Below are 21193 nucleotides of genomic sequence, written 5' to 3' on the forward strand. Positions count from 1 at the left end.
AAGTGCAGTGCCTGGACTTGGGAAGCTACCTAGTTTGCTTATTTCCTTCTGTCATTTTTTTGAGACAGAGTCTTGCTCTGTTGCCCAGGCTGGAGTGCAGTGGAGTGATCTCGGCTCACTGCAAGCTCTGCCTCCGGGTTCACGCCATTCTCCTGCCTCAACCTTCCAAGTAGCTGGGACTACAGGCACCCACCACCACACTCGGCTAATTTTTTTTTTGTATTTTTAGTAGAGATGGGGTTTCACTGTGTTAGCCAGGATGGTCTCGATCTCCTGACCTCGTGATTCACCCGCCTCGGCCTCCCAAAGGGCTGGGATTACAGGTGTGAGCCACTGCGCCTGGACTCCTTTCATTTTTATCCCCCTCTTCTTCTCCTCTCTCTTCCTCTTTTCTCCCCTCCCCTCTGCTTTCTTCTTCTTGCTTCCTTTTACTTGCATATCCAGGGAGCATTTTAATTTTGGAAATAAATGCTATGTAAGCCAAAGTTCTGTGGTGTGCGAGAGTATGGGGTGTGAGAAGGGAGAATTAGAGGAAGGCATTTTAACACCTGTCAAGGCATGGTATTGCCTTCCAGGCAGTTTCTAGAAAAACAAAAACACAGCTGCAGCCATCCTAGAGGCAGGGGCTCACCTCTACTCCAGGGGCTAAGCAGCCTTCACCCTGGGAAAGGTGTCAGGCGAGGGTGGTGATCCAGTTCCTTTGGTGCACCACAAACAATTCAACCCAGGGGTGCTGCTGATCACCGAGTGCCCCTGACCCTCTGTCAAGATTTTTGAAACATGTGATCAGTAAAATCTTAATCTGAACATTTCAATTACACAGGGAGAGTCAGAAATATAAAAGTAGTCATGAAACTCAATCTCTCAAAGAAGTAGAAGCAGCTTAGTTCCTGGAGCTGGGATGGTAGTTGATGGGTTCATCAACAGGCTGCACAGAGTTTAGGGTGGTATCAAGGATATATTTTAAAAAGAGAGAGAGAACTGTAGGTATACCTGGGGGATGGGGCAAGTAGGAGTCAGTTAAAAGAGCAACCATTCCATTTGAGAATTCCCAAGTAACAGCTCTCACAGCATGTGGCTGCCTTCACAGGGAAGCTCCCAGCTCCTGAATGCTGAGAGCCAGGGCTGCTGCCTAACAGACCTGGCCCCTTCTGCTCCGGCTGGAGCTGAATGCCTCCCAGGATCAGCTGTGCTTGTTATTGTAATTAAACAGTTTACAAAAACTGATGAAATAAGAGTGCCAAAAGAAAAAGGGTTGTTTTCATAAAAACTAAGTTTAGTTCTTCAGAAAGGCTCTTTCTATAAAGGGAAGTCAGTAAAAATAATTGCAATTAAATTAGGTGTGGGCGAGATAACTTTAAAAGCTTGGGGAGAATTGTACGCATCTAGAAATGCCTGCGTTTGCTTAAGTTCTCACTTATTTTAAAGAAAACAAAATTGGAAATTATAGACAATATGGTTGGGGTGGGGTTTATGTAAGAAAGAAAACTGGAAATTCCAAACAAAGGACTCATTCTCAAAGAAAAGCTCTTGGCAGTCCATGAAATTATGGGTGAATGAACGACATAGGTTTTAAGTTAAAATAAAATGTTGAATGTATAGTTATTTTATGATTAAGGGGAATCATAAACATCATGATGGGTCATAGATTTGGATGTTCCCTGCAGCAATGGGAAGCTGCTGAAGAATTCTGAATAGGCAGTGACATGCTGGGTTTGCCTTGTTGGGTGCGTCACTCCAACTGTGAGCCATTATATGGCCTGGGGTGGTGATAAGAGGAAAAGAGATCTGTAAAGAGCCTCTGTAATCTGTGAGTGGTAGGAGTCCCAAATCAAGAAAATGGAGATGGAAAGAAGAGGACAGAATAGAGAGATCTTTGGAAGCCTACGTAGAACTAATAGGCTGAGATGATTGGGTCTAGGGGTTTGTGGTCTGAGTGATGGGTGGGCTGAAAATGCCTATAATTAGTTCATGTTAGGTTCCAATGCAAATAACAAGGACCAAATATAAATAGGATCTAATCAAGATAAGAGTTGGTACATGGTATGTGCTGTGCCTCAAACAAGCATCCCCTTCTCAGGTGTCTTCCCAGGACCAAAATGTCCACATAGAAGTGTTACAAGAAAGGGGTCCCAATCCAGACCCTAAGAGAAGGATCCCAAACAGCATGACTGTGGTTTTTCTCGCCATGGGCCTTCAGGCAGATAAATTTGTGTCCAATATATAAGGGCTGGTGAAATTTCTTTTCCTTCCATTCTGTGCATTTATGTATTTTTCCACTTATTTTAAGGTAAAATCTGCATACAGCAAAATGTCTCCCTTTTAGTGTTCACGTTTTGCTATTGTAATAAATGTATCCAATTGTGTAATCAACATCACAATCAAGATATAGAACAGTTCCATCAAACCCCCCAATTCCTTTGTGTCCCTTTACAGCCAACCCTTTCCCTCACCCATTGCCCCTGGCAACTGCTGAGCTGTTTTCTGTCCACAGAGTTTTGCCTTTTCTGGAATATCACAGAGGTGGAATCATGTGATTCATCCATGTCGCTGTGGCTATCAGTGGCTCATTGTTTGCATTGCTGGGTAGATTCCTTTGCGTGGAGGGACCACATCCATTGTTTACCCACTCACTGGTTAAAGAACATGTGGATTGTTTTCACATTTGGGTGATTACTAAAAAAAAAAATAAATATTAGCGTATCGATTTTTGTGTGAACATAATTTTTCAGATCACTTGGGTAAGTACCTAGGAGTAGGAGTGCCAAGGCGTATGGTAAGTGTGTGTTTAACTCTGTAAGAAAGGGCTACACTGTTTTTCCAGGGCTTAAAGCTTTTGTTCCATAGGAAACGGGGAGAAAGTTTGGGGCAGGACTTTCTGCCCAGCCCCTAGCAGCTGCTACTGCTTCTCTTCGACTGGGCACTACTGGAGGGCTTTCGAGGGTCTCTCACTGCCCCCAGGCTTTCGTGTGAGTACCCAGCATGGCCTGTGGAGAGGACCGTGCACCCATGTGGGTGCAACTTCCCCCTTCTGTCTGTGGCCCCAGGGCCTCAATAGTCTCTCATTGGCCCACATGAAGCCCTTAGCAATTTGTTAAAATTGTAGCTGAATTCTCCTTAGTTGTGTCGACAGCATCTGCCCCAGCTACATACATGCAGGCGAATCTGTACTTGGACGTGCCAGTCTTTCCTTAGACTTCTGGTTGGTAGCCCTGTGACTTCAGCTGTGATGGGTCAGGAAAAGGTGTGAGTTTGCAGACTGCCTGCATTTGTTGTTGTTGTTGTTGTTGTTGTTTTGTTATGAGGTTAGGAACAATGGTCTTCCCAGCTCTCTGCATCCCATGTGGAAACCAGGAGTCCTGCAGGTGAAATTTTAAGTATGTGGACTTTTGAACCCTGGTTTATTATTACACAAAATTAAAGAGTATTGCCCTCTATCTCAGGGTATTCAGAAAAGAACAGGTGAGATCTGCTGGAAGATTGCTTTGTCACTTCATCATTCACTCAGTTTTTATTAAACCTCTTTGAGCCAAGGGCTGAGTGAGGTGCTGGAGTGTGAATAGTGAATTAAGGGAGGTTACTTGTTCCCAAGGAGCTTGCAATCTACCGTAGAGACAGACTCCATCATGGAGTACCTGGAATGCTAGGAGGGGAAAATTAGACACGATCAAGTGCCAAGGGTGGAAGGTATAAAATGTGGTCTGCATGGAGGAGAATGGGGGGGATGAGATAGGTGGTCAGCTGGGAAAGTCAGGAGTTGCAAAGGAAGCTCACAGCTGGGGCACCAATGACGTGCCAGAGAGTGGTAGAAGGGCTTCTTGTCCAATACTCTATCCAATCCCTGTAACATCTCTGCAAAATGGATGTCATTACCAAGGTGAGTTGGTTTAAAGAGGGTAAACGGCATGCCCAGGTCAAGAGTCAAACTCAAGTTTGTCTTTACTGAAGTTACCGTGGTGGCAGGTGGAAAAATGCCCCCCAGAGATATCCATGTCTTATTCCCTGGAATCTGTGCATATGTTAGTTTACAAGGCAAAGGAGCACCCAGGTTGTGGATGGAATTAAGGTGTTAATCGCAGACTTTGAGAGGGTAAGAATGTCCTGGATTAGCCAAGTTGGTCCAGTGTTATCACAAGGGTCCTTGTAAGTGGAAGAGGAATGCAGGAAAGAAAAACCTAGAGGGGTGGCGACTAGAGAAGAGCTTGGCTTGCCATTGCTGGCTTTGAAGATGAAGGAAGGGGCCATGAGCAAGGGATGGGTGGCCCCTGGAAGCTGGGAAAGGCCAGGGCACAGATTCTCTCCTCGAGCCTGCAGAAGGAACGCAGCCCTGTGGCACCATGATGTTAGCCCAGTGAGACTGCGTTGGGTTTCTGACCTCCAGAACTTTAAGATAATATCTGTACTCTTTGAGACCCTAAATTTGTGGTAAGTTTTAACAGCATCAGTAGAAAACTAAGCTGGAACTTAAGCTGGAATTTTAAATTCAATCGCATTTCAACAGACATTTCACACCTGGGAGCCACATATGCTAAACAAACAAACAAACAAACAAACAAAAACCCAACAGAGGTAGGTGAGTGAGACTGCCTGATTCACCCTCTGCTAGCTGTACTACCTTGGGCATGTTATTTAAAATTTTTAAGGCCTCTGTTTCCTTCTCTATAAAATAGAGATAATAAAATATCTGCCTCAGAATGGTGTGAGGATCAAATGAGATAATGCATTAAAATAGGTTAGCATGGTGCCTGCTGTAAACTAAGTGCTTAGCAAATAATTATCACCATCAACATCATCGCCATCACTACCATGATCATTATCTCCACATAATCAACTTCATCACCATGATTATTGGCATGACAATGTTTCATCACTGTCACTATCTCTATCGCCATCACTACCATCATCATCTTCACACCACCATCATCATCACCATCATTACTGGCATCATCATCACCCTCATCATCATGATTGTCATTGGAGAGTCTCAGGGTTGGGGGAAGGTAGGGGTGAGGAGGAAAGGGACCATTGAAGAACGTTACCTTACAAGCCCTTCCTCCTCCTCTTCCTCTTCCCTCCACATAAGGTGTCTCTGTATGGAGCTAAAACAGGAACCTCCCTATAGGTTAGATGTGGGGCTTTAGACCCAGGAAAGGCTCTGGCTGGGACATTCCAGGTTCTAGTACTTAAAGTCCCAAACTCCAGGAAATCCCTCAGTCTTGGGCAGCCTGGGCTGGTTGGTCACCCTTGTTGCACCTTGGGTCTGTCTTTTGTACTCCATCAAATAGAAACTTGGGCTTGCAGGGACCTTAGAGACCATCTTGTCTAAGCCTCATGCCAGGCTGAACCCTCTCCCGTTGTGGTTTTCTCATCTCTGCTTTTATATATCCAGGGATCAGAAGCTCCCAACTGTCTCAGACAGCCCCTGCTGTCTCGGCAGCTCTGACTCTGAGCAAGACAGAGAGATGAGTTGAGGAGCAAGGATCCTGTAGGGGAAGAACCTGAACTCTGATCCTGGCTTTTCAGTTCACCAGCTGGGTGGTCCTGGCTGAGTTCCCATATCCCACACAAACGGTACACAGACCTCAACCCCCTGCCACCCCTGCCTCCTGTTAGGTGTGGTGGGCCCTGGATCTGTGTGCTGAGCACCTTTGCTGGCAGCCTTGTGGAGCTCTGAGCTTGTCAAAGCCCCATTTGAAACTTCAGGTCTGCATGGCTCTCATTCTCAACGTGCCAAGCTTGATTCATACCTGAAGGACCTCCACTTCAAATTTGGATGGAAGGTCACATTGTGGGACTTCCTGAGAGCTAAATAATACTCCCCAGAAGGCAGGGGGCAAGTCTTCATTCTTAGGAAGCAGGAGCCAGACACATCAGTTCCTGCTGCTTCCCCCCTTCCATGGAGTGGGGCATGACTGGCAACAAATGGGTATATGGCATCTTTTTGGGGAGTGATGAAATATTCTTAAGTCAGATGTATTGATGGGTGCACAGCTCTGAATGTATTAAAACTACTGAACTGTACACTTTTAATGAATGAATTTTATAGTATGTGAATTACATCTTAAAGCTGTTTAAAAAACAGTGACATAAATGACTTATGTTTTAAAGTACACATATATGTATACGAATATATGGTAAAATATATGTATACTGAAAGATACACTTAATGAAAGGCATATATGTGGGGGCCAGGGAGAGAGAGAGAAAAAGGAAATGAAGAACATACTACCAATTGTAAATAGAGATGAAGAACAACGTGTATATGTGTTACAGATGTTTCTTGTACTGTTTTTGTACTATTCTCTCAACTTTTCCATACGCGTTTTAATTTTTCAAAATAAAATGTTGGAGAAAATAAGCTTGCCATCCTTGGACTCAGGAAAATATCCACCCATTTGAGAGCCTACCAATGGCCCCTGCTTATTTGGCAAAGTCATCAGCTCTGCTTCTAACTGTTCAGTCTCCCACCCTGAGCTGCCTGTCTCCAGACCTCATAGTAAGAAAACTTGGGCTTTCAAAGCTTGGTCCTGCACACCTGCTGACAGACTCCTGGGAACCCTGGTTTCACTTTACTGAGGTAAGCAGTAACTTGATTTGCAGCCCTGAAGGTCCTTTCTCAGGTGTGCTGACTTAGTGCGAAGACACCCTCCATAGGAATTACCTGGGAGCAATTTTCTTATCATGCAGAGCCCAAGACTTCAGCCTGCACCTTCTGAATTGGAACTTCAGACTGAGAAATTCTAGATGAATAGATGGGTCTCAATGTACTTTTCCATCTTCATTTCACTGTTGGTTTGGCAAATACATAGCAAAGGTTCCAGGTCAGAAAAGGCAGCAATGGGTGTGACTGACAGATGCAAAATGGAGTCAACCCAGGGAACAGACTCTGTAGATGTCCACAGCCAGTGTCACGTAGCCACCAGACATAGCAGGCCCTTGTCAGACAAGATTCCTCTCGACTACATCTCCTCCTGATAGAAGCGTCAGGAAGCCCTGGCATTGTCCCCCCAGCCTTCAAAGCACACCTGAGGAACAGTGAGAACAGCACACAGGCAACGCCTTCTGACTTTGGCCAAGAATGGTCCTGCGAGACATCATGGGTCACTGCTCGTGTTTCTTCCCACACATCCCTTGTCTGGCACCTGACATCAGGCGGATGACTCAGCTTCAGAGGCTAGAACAGGCCTCCAGCAGGAAGCAGGAAATCTGCAGAAAGGCTGCTTCACTAGCATCCTGGGGCTTGGGAAGGAGGTCAGCCCTATTTTTCACAAGCCTACCTCCAACTGTGAGTTTTATTAGTAACCCAAAATATTATATGTGATTACCTGTGGGCCTTTGACAACAAGAGAGGGAAAGGTAACCTCATTAAGTCCTCTATCTTTAAATGTTTGAAAAATGTGACCCACTCAGAGGGATCTCAAATTCTGCTTCATTGAATAAGATGAATCTTGGCACGTAAAAAACACTTAAATCGCTTGACAAAGTTTTGCTTATTTGCTGTTGAACTATATATATTTTTAACAGCCAAGTAAAACCCCAAAGTGGTAATTGCCTTAAATCACCTTCATGAAAATGGGGAAAGAATCTTTCTAGTCTGAGTGAGGCTCTGCTCCTGGGGTTGAGGAAGATTTGAGGCTTTGCTTGAATAATTTTACCAAGTCTACTTGAAGTGGAAGATTTAAAAATTTCAGCAATTGTTAGTTTATTGGCATCATTAGATGAAACCCATTCAGCTGTTTGTTAGACGTTAGCTGACTTGTTCCCTGCTCTAAAATCTGTCAGGTGAGGCAGGCAACATTCTCCACTTGGTACTTTACCAGGGTGGAGGCTTTGGTTGATGGCCCCCAGCAGGCTGGCTGTCTTGGAGGAGAGACCTCCAGAGTAGAGGCATGGGGTGCAATGCAGGCCACTGCCCCATACTGAGGATTGACCAGGTCGATGGTGGCCTGAGTCCAGATCACATCAAGTGATCCCCCTGCCCAGAATTTCAAGGCTGCAATGAGCTACAGTCATCCCACTGCACTCCAGCCTGAGCAACAAAGTGAGACCATGACTCTGAAAAAAAAAAAAAGCTTTTGATGGGGCTTTGCCTTTACTTTTTCTCTGGGAAATACTTGAACAGTGACCCAAACTAATTCTTAAGAATTTGGAAAAGATCAGGAAATAGAAAGGAAGTTCATATTGATTGGTTTTCTACTGTTTTAAGCATTATATGTGCCATGTGCCAGTTTTTTCACATTTATTATCTAATTTTACTCTTCAAAACCATGTTATTGTTACCACTTTTCAGATAAAGAAAGTACAGCTTCAAAAATCTAAGCCATTTGTCCGATGCAGAACAGCATTTGACAACTATGGAGGTGACTCTGATGACCTGGCTCTACCTCAGCATGGGGCCCTGTGTCATTGATAAGTGTGGTATTAGCCGCCTGATTCGCTAACCCACAGTTCAGAGCAGGGGTGGGCCAGGCAGATATTAGAACAGAAATGAGGACCAAGACTTGCTTAAATAAGCAGGCAGCAAGCTCGGTGAGCAGACAGGATCCAGGTGACGCGGTGCAGTAATGTGGGGTTGTGGTCAGCACCATGGACAGCTCCCCTGTTGCTTCATATTGAGGAATAGGAAAGCGCCGCTATCTCCGGATCCTGGCTAGCTCCAGCCACTGCAGGTAACTGTCTTGAATGGGCTTAGAAACATGGTGATGTCTGCAGCGAAGGGCTGGCAGTGGATGTGGGCTCTGCCTGGGCGATTCGGGTCTCTGCGGGCTGGTGATGGAGATGTTCTTTCAGGTCTCTGTGCTTTTTCTCACTAGTGTCCACTTTGTCCAGGGCCTAGATCGCCCCTGGGCTCAGGCAGAGATCCAACTGAGAGCCCCTTCGCCAAGATCTTAGCACACATAGTGTCAGGAGCTCCTGAAAAATGTTTAACATTGATAGAAAAAGTGGGATGAGTAACAAAAGAATCTTTAAATTCCCCAAATGGAAAAATGTCATCTGGCTACAGATCTTTAAACAATATTTCTAAATCTCTGCTTCAAATACTCGCAAAGCCTGGAAAAGAAACAACCCGTCACAACAATATTGAGAACTAAGATTGATGTTATGTGAGGTAAGGCCAAAATCTGCCAGTATTTGTAAGGGATATGAAGCTTAAACAGCAAAACCTAACCAGGCTTTGTCCAGCTTTGTCCAGCAGAAAAGCAAATCTCTGGCATTTCCCAGGCTCACCTGGAAAGAGGTTGGTGGCTCACTGTGCAGCCCTGGGTTGCTCATTTCCAGGAAGTTTCCCATCCTCTTCCACTTTCCTCCCAGAATACAGAACTAGGGAAGAAACCCTTACATCAAGCAGAATTGATGCACATTTATCCCTGATGATGTGTTAAAACATTTGCAGGCATCTGTGCCCCATGCATTTTTTTTTGCAGTAGCTCCATGAAGACACATTTAGAGCATATATAAGAGTTCTTCAGTTGCATAACAACATGAATGTACTTAATGCCACAGAACCTGAAAATGTACACTTAATAATAGTTAAGATTGTGCTATGGTCTGAATGATTGTGTCTCCCCCAAACTAGACTGTTGAAACCTAATGACCAACGTGATGGTATTAGGAGGTGGGGCCTCTGGGGGGTCCCTCATGAGTGGGATTAGTGCCCTTATAAAAGAGGCCCCAGAGTGCCATCCATGAACCAGGAAGAAAGACCTCCTCAGACTCCAGATTCACTGACATCTTGATTTTTGACTTCCCAGCCTCTAGAACTGTGTGAAATAATTTTTTTTTCTAGATGAAGTCTTGCTATTGTTCCCCAGACTGGGAACAATACCATTGCACAATGGTATGATCTCCACTCACTGCAACCTCTGCCTCCTGGGTTCAAGCAATTCTCCTGCCTCAGCCTCCTGAGTAGCTGGGATTACAGGGGTGCGCCACCACACCTGGCTAATTTTTGTATTTTTAATAGAGATGGGGTTTCACCATGTTGTCCAGGCTAGTCTCAAACTCCTGACCTCAGGTGATCCACCTGCCTTGGCCTCCCAAAGTGTTGGAATTACAGGTGTGAGCCACCATGCCCGGCCAACTTCTGTTGTTTTTAAGCCACCTAGTTCATGACGTCTTGTTACAGAAGGCTGAACAGACTAAGACAGTGGTAAATTTTATGTTGTGTATATTTGATCACAATTTAAAACTACAAAAATTTTAAATAAAAGCAAAAAAAAAAAGGAGTCCTTCAATTAGTTATTGCTGTGTAACAAGCCACCGCAAATTTTCGTGGCTTAAAATAGCAACCATTTTATTGTTTGTGATTCTATGTTTGTGCAAGACTTGTGGGGAAGGTTCCTCTCTCCTGCACTTGGTACCAATAGGGCAGCTCACCTGCCACCAGAGAATCCAAGGTGACCTCACTTGCATGTGTAGGGCTTGTCTGGCTCTCGGACAGAAGGCTGTGGTTCTTTTTCATGTGGTCTCTCTCTATTCATGGACTCTCATCACTCAGCAGTCTAACCTGAACTTTTTTATACAAAAATTGGCTTTAAGAGGGCAAAAGTAGAAGCTGCCAGTCCTCTTAAAGTGTAGGACCTTGACTGGCATATTGTCACTCCTTCTACATCCTTTTAGTCAAAGCAAGTTACAAGAGCTGAAACTCAAGGTGAGAAGCAGGAAAGACTACAACCTTTGCTGGGAGGAGTCGCGCACCTGGAGGGGAGGAATTGTTGGTGGCAATTTTTTTTTTTTTTTTTTTTTTGAGACGGAGTTTTACTCTTGTTTCCCAGGCCAGAGTGCAATGGTGCATCTCAGCTCACTGCAACCACCGCCTCCCAGGTTCAAGCACTTCTCCTGCCTCAGCCTCCCAAGTAGCTGGAATTACAGACACCTGCCACCACGCCCAGCTAATTTTTTTGTATTTTTAGTAGAGACGGGGTTTTACTATGTTGGCCAGGCTGGTCTTGAACTGCTGAAATCAGGTGATCTGCCTGCCTCAGCCTCCCAAAGTGCTGAGATTATAGGTGTGAACCACCATGCCTGGCCCAGTGGCAATTTTTTTTAGATGATCTCCACAATGAATCTCATCATCCTCCTTCTTAGTCCTGTGCTGAAGTGGCAGGGTGAGCAAGGACCCCAATGTCAACTTTGGAATTGCATTTAGGGTATAATTCACCCCAGAAGGAAATTTCAATATGGGATCTCAGAGATGTACACATATGTGCACATATAGATTAGGGTTTGGAAGAAGAAAGGGATCTTAAAGTTTATTTCTCCTTTTACATAAGAAGGAAAAAAGCCCACTTGTTACATGATTCACCATTATTTAGTAAGAGAATAAGAATAGATACTAGGCTGGCTATATCCCACTGCCCTCTACCAAACACACATACCACCCCCTCCCCACCGCCACACAAAGACTCACACAATGGGGAGAGGGCTTTAGAGAGGTACATTTAGGTTATGGCATCACTTACAATTATTACAGAGCAAATTCATTGAATTTAAAATCTTAATGTGGCAAGTTAATTTCCCATTCAATATTTAGCCAGAACTCCAGCTGGAAGCAAAGTCATCTTCCCCATAATTTCTCCTGTTGACTGAGCTGCGCACTGACAGGTGCTCTGAGCATGCAGATTAAAGTTAGATGAGATTGGCTTCTGAGGCCAAGCATTTTCAGACAGACCTGAATGACTGCAACTATAGGCATTTTGGATTTTTTTCACTGCCTTATCTGGCCCTGTGAGCTTCCTGAAGAAAAAGCTTGGGCAAGTCATTTCTTGTAGATATCAGCATGGAAGAGAAGCAAGATGTGTCCTTGGCAGGGTCCCCCTGGAAAGGCTAGGACACCCTGGGGCTGCCTATCTCTGGACCAAGAAGTGATGCTGGGAGAGTGACCAGGACACACACAGCTAAATAATGCACTGTGCTCCCCTGATGCTGTTTAAGGACCCAGGAGCCAGCAGGGGCCACCACAGTTTGCACCCCAAAGCAGAACATATGAAAATGGTTAGGGGTCAGCAGGTCACACTCAGCTATGCACACAAGTCATTGCCTTGCCCATCTCTTCTCCTACCACCCTATCTTCAGTAGCCCTCACTCAGAGTTTTATTGACATCACCCTGTTTATATCCCTCCTACATTGATTATATGTGATCAACTTGTTTATTTATTTGTTTCCTGTTTATAGTGAGGTTCACCCAAGGGGCTGCAGCTGACTTGTTCATGGCTGTGTCCCCAGTGCCCGGAACGTGGTGGGTATCCATTGTTTGTTGAAAAAATGAATTGAATAAAATTAAATTCCATGAACGTGTGACCCGGGGAAGGTCTGTTACAAAGTCACTGAAGGAGGAGAGTTTATGGGTCTTGGAAAGAGGAGACATGGGGTCAATCCTAGGCCTGCCATTTTGTGTGTGGCCTGTTCATTCAGGCAGGGATTTTAGAAAAGAGAATGAAGCTGAAAGGAGTTTATTGAATGGACATTTGGAATTTCACATACTTTTTGAAGGAAGAGGAGAACTGGCTTCTAGGAGCAATGCTGAAAATGACACTGAAGAACTGGCCTGATGAGAAACCACATCTGCGCTGGCATTTTCTTGCTGTTCTAATTGCAAAGCACTGACTTGTCCACACAGTCATTCCCTTAAGCTTCTGTCACTTTCCCCATCCTCACAATGCATCTTGCAAGAAGCCACATTCCTCAGTCCAAACACATCCAATATACTCAATAGATGGAGCCCAGGTCCAAGCCTCCACCCAGCTACAGGGAGAGAGGAAACTGGAGTTGGTGGGAAGCAAGACTCAGAGGCGGAAAGTTGCCCAAACACAGGAAGACTGTTCAAAGGGTCCTGGTTGACCAGAAAACTTGACAATGGTTCATGACAGCAGCTTCTGTCTCAGTTTTTCATCTGCAACACAGGCCAGCCCTGCTACCTCCTCAGGTAGTTCTAAGAAATTGTAATGTAAATTGCTAGAGTGCTCAAATGGCTTCTGAAATGGCTCTCAGAATGCTGAGGTGGGAGCACTACTCTACTTTTTAGAAGAGAAGGAGGGAAAAGGGAGGAGGGGAGAAGGGGCTGGGGAGCCACAGCAGAAAGGCCTGAGGTCAGTGTGAGTATTGGAGCCACACTCCCTGTGCTGCTCCCGTCCTCTGACCTGTAGTCGCTATGGCCTCTCCTAACAGCAGAAGCAACACGTGCTGTTACATGGTGTTCGCACATTTCGGGGGCAGCCAGGCTTTTTGCATCCCAGCACATCCCTCATTTCAACTGATCCTAAGAAGGAGGAAATTATGTTCTTATTACACAGATGAGGGGTGCAGAGAGGCGTGAGAGCTCTCAGATATTTGGCAGTTTGGATACATTAAAACTGGCTTATCCCTTCTGGAAAAAAAAGGATGAATACAACTTTGGTGATAGTGGACCCTTGCAGAAGGCCTGCTAAGGTCAGAAAAAGAGGGATCTTTCCCTGCCTCTCTCGGAACCCATCCTGTCTCCATTCTCTATTGAGAAAGGCCAAAGCCATTGGCCAAGACAAAGAGGTCTGCCGGACCAGGGTTCTGGGGGTCAGAGGCTACAGCATGAAGACAAAGGTATTTGGACCCTCCCCGGTGTAAGCTCACCGGGAAGCATTTCATCTCTTAGAACCGTCCCCCAGTTCTAGATTGTCCTTTATCTCCAGGGCCTCCTTTGGATTAGAAGCAGAAGCCCACCCCTTCCTCAGAAAGCCAGGAAGGGACTGGCTGGTGGCCCAGAGGAAAGGAGGCGCTACTCAAGTTGCTTAGGACAAGTAGAAGGGGTCCTTGCAACTCCAGTGACCCAGCCATTTTTGCTAGAGATGGGGACCAGAGAGGGACTGAGGACTGGACCTCAGCTGCAACAGGGTGACTTCTCTGAGGGGTGCTGTGCACTCCAAGGACAACAGAGATGCCTGAGGTTTCTTACGAGGGGACTATTTGTCAGATTCAGTGCTGGGCCCTTGCTTGGGCTTTTCTCATCTTAGCTCATCATCGAAGCTTCACGACTACCTGTAGGCCAGACGATCACTTTCATTTTAAAGATCAGAATCTGACACTCAGGAGACAGGGGCCATGCATGCCAGGAGCCACCCGGGCAGTAAGTGGCTGAGCAGGAATGGATGGCAAATGTGGCTGCTCCCAAGCTCATGACTCCCAGCCGCCATCCACTTCCTCCATTGATATTTTCCTGCGTCCTCAGCTCTGCCTCCACCTGCAGCTCAGTGCTCACTGTTGCTCCACCAGCTGCAATCTTAACTGTGCCCCAGCCACCAAGGCTGTCTCTGATGCAAGAGGGCACCGGCTGTGTCCTCTGGTTAATGCACTCTTGCCCCACCTGGGCCCTGGGACTCTCCTACCCCTACACCGTACAGATCTTGACATGTTAGTTGCCTGACACCTCAGTTCTCTTATCAGAAAATACTTAACCCAAAATGAGTAAGATGACGCGTGTGAAGCCCTTCTCCACTATCAGACACGCCGTCAGTGCTCCATGCGTTCTGCTGCTGGTGTATTGTTGCTGTTTCTCTTAGCAGTTCTGTTTATCTGGCCTGTTTCAGCCTCACCAGCCAGAGGCAGATGTCAGAAAGCCCATCCCTACATCTCTAAGGCATGCGAGTGAACCGGGCAGCTGGGTGTTGTGAGGAAATCACATTTAAGCTTCTAGCTAATCTGTAAGTTATAAAGGTTAGAAAATAAAGAGAAAGAGAAAGAAAATGTATATTTTTGTACCATGAGACAGACAGCCTTAGCAAAGTAGCAGGTTCTTTTCAAAGTGCTCTTTGAAAATAAGTTTCCTATTTTTAGCTTAATGACATTCCAGACTAGCCAAATGATTAAATATTGAAATAGGACCGGCGATCTTGAGTTTCATCCGGCTGATCAATTTAAGATGAGGCAGCAGAAGAAAATGCAAATGTCAAATTACCAAATCCAAAAGAACTCCACGCTGAGCCTTGGCAAAATGTTACAGGAGGCCCACCGGGGCATTTTTATATTATTTTTGCCCTAGAGGTAACATGCAGGGGGAAAGGATCAGAATTCTCACCACCCAGTTCTTCCCTGAAGGCCAGCACTGCTGGGAAAGGTGGTTTATGTTGGCTAACAATGTACACAGTGCAAGATTCAGAGCAGTTGGGAGAAAAGCCAAGGAGCCTGAGGCATGGCTTCTGCCTGGGCTTCTTCCTATGAATCTGGAGCCAGTCCCAGCAGATTGGCTCTAGAAAACTCACCCAGCCTCCTGAGAAGGCAGTGGGTGCCCTCCCATGTCAGAGATGGTGCTGGTGGCTAGAGCACAGTTGAGGTTGCAGCTGATAGAGATGAGAATAAGCGCTGGTCTGAGGGTGGGGACAGAGTTGAGGCTGCAGGAAAACATCAAAGGAGGAAGTGGATGGTGGTTGAGGGGCATGAACTTGGAAGCAACCACACCTGCCATCCATTCTTGCTCAGCCACTTACTGCCCAGGTGGTTCTGTGTCTCTTCTGGGCTGTAAACACAATTGCTTTAGTCACTAGGATTGATAGACAGGAAAAGCTAAGAAAACACCACAACCATGTCCCACATATAAAAACATTACAGCTATGATGTACAAGAAAAACAAAACCAGAAAAACCCCAAATGCCTGTGGAATAGGGAGCATTGCACTTAAAGGCATTACGGCATGCCTTTTCAGTGGAATTTCAGTGGAATTCCTTGCAAGAGAGATGGGAGAGGGATTCTTTCCACTGAATACCTTTATATGCTGTTTGGGCTCGTTAAACATGTGTGTGTATCACCTTTTCAAAAAATAAAATATTATGAGATATTTAAAACTTTAAGATTACAAAACACAATCAAATAAGCTCAGAGACTGTTCTTTCTCAAATCTGCCTTCTGTTCATGATGCCCTTGCCCCAGCCTGCAGCTACACACTGTCAAAACCACAGATTTATTGGAGGAGCAGAATCTGCATGGTTCAAGAATCATATTACTCACATTGTGAAATTAACTTGCCAAAATAGTTACCCCAGCAGCCCCATCTGGACACAGCTCTGTGGACCCAGCTGTCATATTTTCAAAATCAAGTCACATCCTTACTTAAATTGTTTCTGCATTACTCTTCTCCCGGCACCAAATAAACATTTTCCGGCTCCCCACACATGCATCTCTATGATTTGACCCTTAACGGCCTTCCTAATCCTCTTGCCATTTTCCCCCACTGTCCAGCACTGTGCTTAGTCAACATATATTCATTGAACAAATGACTGAAATTCACTATTTAGAGACTATTTTTCTCCAGCCACTGCTCTACATCTGTTCCATGAAACACACTTTCCACACTCCCAAAACTTTGCACATGCTGATCCCTCAACTTCAGATGCCTTTCCAGGTCCTCTCTTCTCCACTCAGAAAATCCTCATTCACCTTTCAAAGCCTGGTGCCAGTGCTGCATCTCATGTGAGCCTTCCCCTTTTTCTTTCCATATAGTTGCAGCTCCATATTGAGCACAGGGCTGGGATGTGAGTGGGGGATTAGGTGGCATGTGCTGGGGTCTTAACATTAGTGTACCAGACCCCCAATTCATACGTTGGAAACTAATGCCCAGTGTCATAGTGTTAACACGTGGAGCCCTTAGGAAGTGATGCCGACCCTCATAAATGGGATTGGTGCCCTTATAAAAGATTTTGAAGGAGGCGCCCCTATGCTTCTTCCTTCTGCCATGCGAGGAAGCAGCAAGAAGGTGCTGTCTATGAAGAACAGGCCCTCACCAGACACCAAAGCCGCTGGAGGCTTGATCTTGGACGTTACAAAGATCAAAGAATGTATTGCTCCAAAACTGTAAGCAATAAATTCTATTGTTTAAAAATTGCCCAGTCTAAGGTATTTTGCTATGGCAGCCTGAATGGACTGAGGCCACATGCAGGTAGGGTCTCAGAGATCTGTGGCTCTGGATGACGAGGTCAACTTTTGCCTGCCCTCCACACCTTCAGCATTTCACCTGCTTGAACCATTGGTCATTTAACCAAAACCTCTGGAGCAAGGGGGAGTGTATTGTAAAGAAAGAGGTAAGGGGGGTGAGGAGGCCAATGATGATGATGGCAAGGATGAAGAAGGCATAGGTGATGGCGGTGAAGATGACGAAAAGGATGAAGAAGGCAATGATGATGGTGGTGACATTAAGGAACCTGCCTTGGACAATTGCTGAAAATAGAGAAGATGGCAATGTCGGCAGTGAGGAGGACCACAGGAGATAGCTATGCTATAATGAAGGTGACAGTGACCATCCATGTCCTGCCAGTGAGAGCCACAGATTACAACCAAATGCCTGTTTTTTTTTTAACGTGCCCCAGTTGTTGAATGACCAAATGCCTGGTTTGATGGTAGCTGTGACAGACCATGAGAGGGTAAGGGTGGGGGGAACATGAGTCCTTTTCTGTCCCGGAAAGAGATCACAGCTCAGCTCCACCTCTGCATAAACCTCCAAGCCCTTCTTTCTGCCATAGCCAGTTGAGTGGACACAGTGAATTGCAAGCCCACTGGGGAGCAGCAGGAAAGTAACTCTCCCCCTAGACAAGGAAGTTAACCTGAAGTCCAAAAACTTCACATTCACATACACAAACCCACTGGGCTAATAGCCTGGGCAGGCCAGAGAGAAGAAACAAACAACATGGTGGCTTCTTTCCACAGACACAGTGGCCAGATCAGTGGGGAATGAGAGGGAGGAGGAGGAGAAGCTGGCCAAGGAGCCGGCCAAGCACTCCAGCTGTTAGCATAGTTCCAGAGGGAAACACAGCATTGGGATGACTTATGAAGGCCCGGCACACCAGATTATCTCTAAAGAGGGTTCAAGGCATCTCAGTAGGGCTGGTCTCAACACTTCCACTTTCCAGTTTTAGTCATCAGTCTGGAAGCTGCCCTTCATTACTTACTAATGCAGCCAAAATAATTTGTTGTTTGAATTGTGTCTGTGTCAGAATCTAGTAGAGAAGACAGAGGTGGACAGCATTGGGAATTAAGATCTGGCCCATGGCAGATGGCAGTGGGCATGGTCTGCCTGCCCCACTGCTGGTCCTCAGGGGCTGCAGCAATGAGGAGTCAGATCAGCTGCCCTGCTCCTCCTCACATGGTGTGTGGGGCACTGCCAGCTGGCAGCCTCTTGAAATAGAAAGGAAACCCACTGGAAAAGACCCTGCAGCTTGTCTCTAGCATCTTGTCCTGGTTAGCGACAGCATATCATTCCATCCGTAAATACTTCCACATGTATCCCTAAAATCTCCCAGATAACTATCATGTCATAACTGATGCATGTGTCAGAGACCCTCACAACCTGCTCACAGTCCTGAGCCCTTCCAGAGAGGGGAGGCCTGCTGGCTAGAGCTGCACATCAGGGGTCTTCAGGGAAACTGTACATCTTGGGGCATACACAGAAACAAGAACTTACAAGAATTCCATCTAGCATCAAATGTCCAGCCAATGTTTATATTTCCTTAGTTGCCTTATAAATTTTTTTTTTTTCCACAATTTGACTTGGGATCCAAGTAATGTTTGTGTATTAGGAATGGCGGGTGGCCACTCCATCTATACTTTTCCCCACTTACAATTTTTTTGTTGAAGAACCCATCCATGTCCTTAGTCCTATAGGATTTCCTATTATCTGGATCTTGCTAATTTAATCCCAATGGATTCAATAACTTATTTTTCTGTTAAATCGATGGTTAGAGCTAGAGCCTTCATCAGGTTCAAGTTTGATTCTGTTTGGGTTTTCTTGGCAGGACCATTTTACTGCTAGCACTGTGTTCTTCCATCAGAGAGCATAAAATGTTGCTTCTCTCCCATTTTGTGATGTTAGGCATCAGTGGGAACCATTTGTGCTGGTTTTAAAGGACAAGGCTGAGTTCATTGAGGAGATGAGGAGTAGGAGGAAGGGTGTTCCAGAGAAAGCTCAGAAAGAAAAGTGAATGACCCACCAGGGAAGACAAGACGCTCTGCACAGTTGGAGCAGAAAGTGCCAGGCAACGGGCAAAAGCTCAGAGGGCCTGGCTGAAGAGACTCCAAAACTGGCGCTTTACGTGCAGGGAAAGATGGAGGAGATGAGTGGCTGTGGTTGTTACTCAGCCCCAGAAGAAGAGTGGGGAAGGCTCCTTGTTCAACCAGCTTTGCTGTTTTAGGGAGCAGTGGGCCATCCCTGCCCAGCTGCACCCAGCCAGGCCAACATCTGGACAGCTGGAGACAGGACCACCTTCTCACCAGCCCAGGGTTCTTCTTTGCCTAAGACTGCCTTGGAAAGAGGTCAGTCCTCCCTCAAAAATACCTTGAATCTCTGAGTTTATCTTAGTTGGCTAGGGCTGGCATAACTAAGTACCATAGACGTGGTGGCTGCACTGAATGTAGCTGGCGGATGGTCAGCTGGACAGCTACGGGGCGAGGTACGGGCTGGTCGGAAGAGCAGGAGAGCTGAAGCTAGAACTCTGGCTCTAAATGTCCAGCTCTACCTTAGCTCTTGGCAAGCACTGTGGCCCTTGCAGTTTTCTCACCTTCTAAATGGGTATTACAAGACATTCCGTGTAAGACCTATACATGGCAAGACCTATACCTGACTCAAAAATTGTAAGACTCCAATGAGTATTCAGCATCAAGGGAATTGAAAAAATTAAAAAGTACTCCACAGCTACAAGGGATTATTATTATTGTATTACTGCATTTATATGACCATTACATAAGCAGGCAGTAATATAATACAGATGAAAACGATAGGCTTTAGAGAGAGATAAATATCACTTTCAGTCCCAGCTTCACCACTTATTTTAGCTCTATGACCTTGTGCATTTCTGCAACTTCTGTGCCTCAGTTTCTCACTGGTAAAATTGGTCTTATACTAACATAAGATTCATATTGCATATTTTAGAACCTACTTTACTGAGGTATTATTTACATACAACAGATGCAAGCGTTTGACATGTATAGTTCAATTATTTTTGACACATGTATATTCTCGTGTATCCACAACCACGATCATTATTACACAGAACATTTTCATCCTCTCAAAAAGCTTCCTGTGACTCTTCCCAATCAATCTCATTTCAAACCCAGACCTAGCTAACCACTGATCTGGTGTGTGTCACTGTAGACAGTTTTTTTCTAGACTTTCCTATAAATGACATCATATAGTATGTACTCTTTGCCTTCTTTTATTCAGCATAATGTTTTTGAGGTTCATCTGCATTGTTGTGTATCAGAAGTTAATTCCTTTCTATTCCTTTGTAATATTCCATTGCATGACTGTATCACAATTTGCTTATCTGTTCTCCTGTTGACCGACATTTTTAATTTTCTGGTTTTGGAAATACCATGAATGAGGCTGCCAAGAATATTTTATGAAAGTCTCTTTGTGAATGTAAGCTTTAATTTTCTTTAGAAAATACCTAAGAGTGAAACAACTGGGTTCTATGACAAGAGTATTTTTAGCTTTTTTTTTTTTTTTTTAGGAAACTGTGAAATTTTATTCCAAAGTGGATATATCATTTTACACTCCCACCAGCAGTGTACGAGAGTTTCAGTTGCTCCATATCTTTGTCTGCACTTGATATTGGCAGTCTTTGAACTTTTTGCCATTCTAACAAGTATATAATAGTATTTCTGTGTGTTTTAGTTTGTTTTCATGATCACAAATGCTACTGATCATTTTTCATTGTTTATTAGCCATTCATATATCTTCTATTATGAGTTGTCTCTTCAAATCTTTTGCATGTTAAATTTGGGGTGTGTTTTATTATTATTTCGTAGGTGTCCTGGAAGCAAGAATTTTGTCAGATATATAATCATAAACATTTTCTCTCAGTCAGTGGTTGCTTTTTTATTTTCTTTTTTTGTGTTTTTTTCTTTCTTTCTTTCTTTTCTTTCTTTCCTTCTTTCTTCTTTCTTTCTTTCTTTCTTTCTTTCTTTCTTTCTTTCTTTCTTTCTTTCTTTCTTTCTTTCTTTCTTTTTCTCCCCTTCCTTCCTTCCTTCCTTCGACAGAATCTCACTCTTATTGCCGAAGCTGGAGTGCATTTGTACAATCTCGGCTCACTGCAACATCTGCCTCCCGGGTTCAAGTGATTCTCCTTCCTCAGTCTCCTGAGTAGCTGGGATTACAGGTGCCTGCCACCACACCTGGCTAATTTTTGTAGTTTTAGTAGAGACGAGGTTTCATCATGTTGGCCAGGCTGGTCTCGAACT

At 45.0% G+C, this 21193-nt stretch overlaps 1 annotated feature.

The window, feature by feature from the left end:
- Window positions 770-1360: an enhancer, noted in NCBI's record as "OCT4-NANOG hESC enhancer chr10:125366796-125367386 (GRCh37/hg19 assembly coordinates)". NCBI's record gives its function as "activates a minimal SCP1, AML or CMV promoter by ChIP-STARR-seq in naive H9 embryonic stem cells {active_cell/tissue: H9 hESC(naive)}" and the evidence as "EXISTENCE:reporter gene assay evidence [ECO:0000049][PMID:30033119]".

Source organism: Homo sapiens, chromosome 10 (assembly GCF_000001405.40).
Source record: "Homo sapiens chromosome 10, GRCh38.p14 Primary Assembly".
Taxonomy (NCBI): domain Eukaryota; kingdom Metazoa; phylum Chordata; class Mammalia; order Primates; family Hominidae; genus Homo; species Homo sapiens.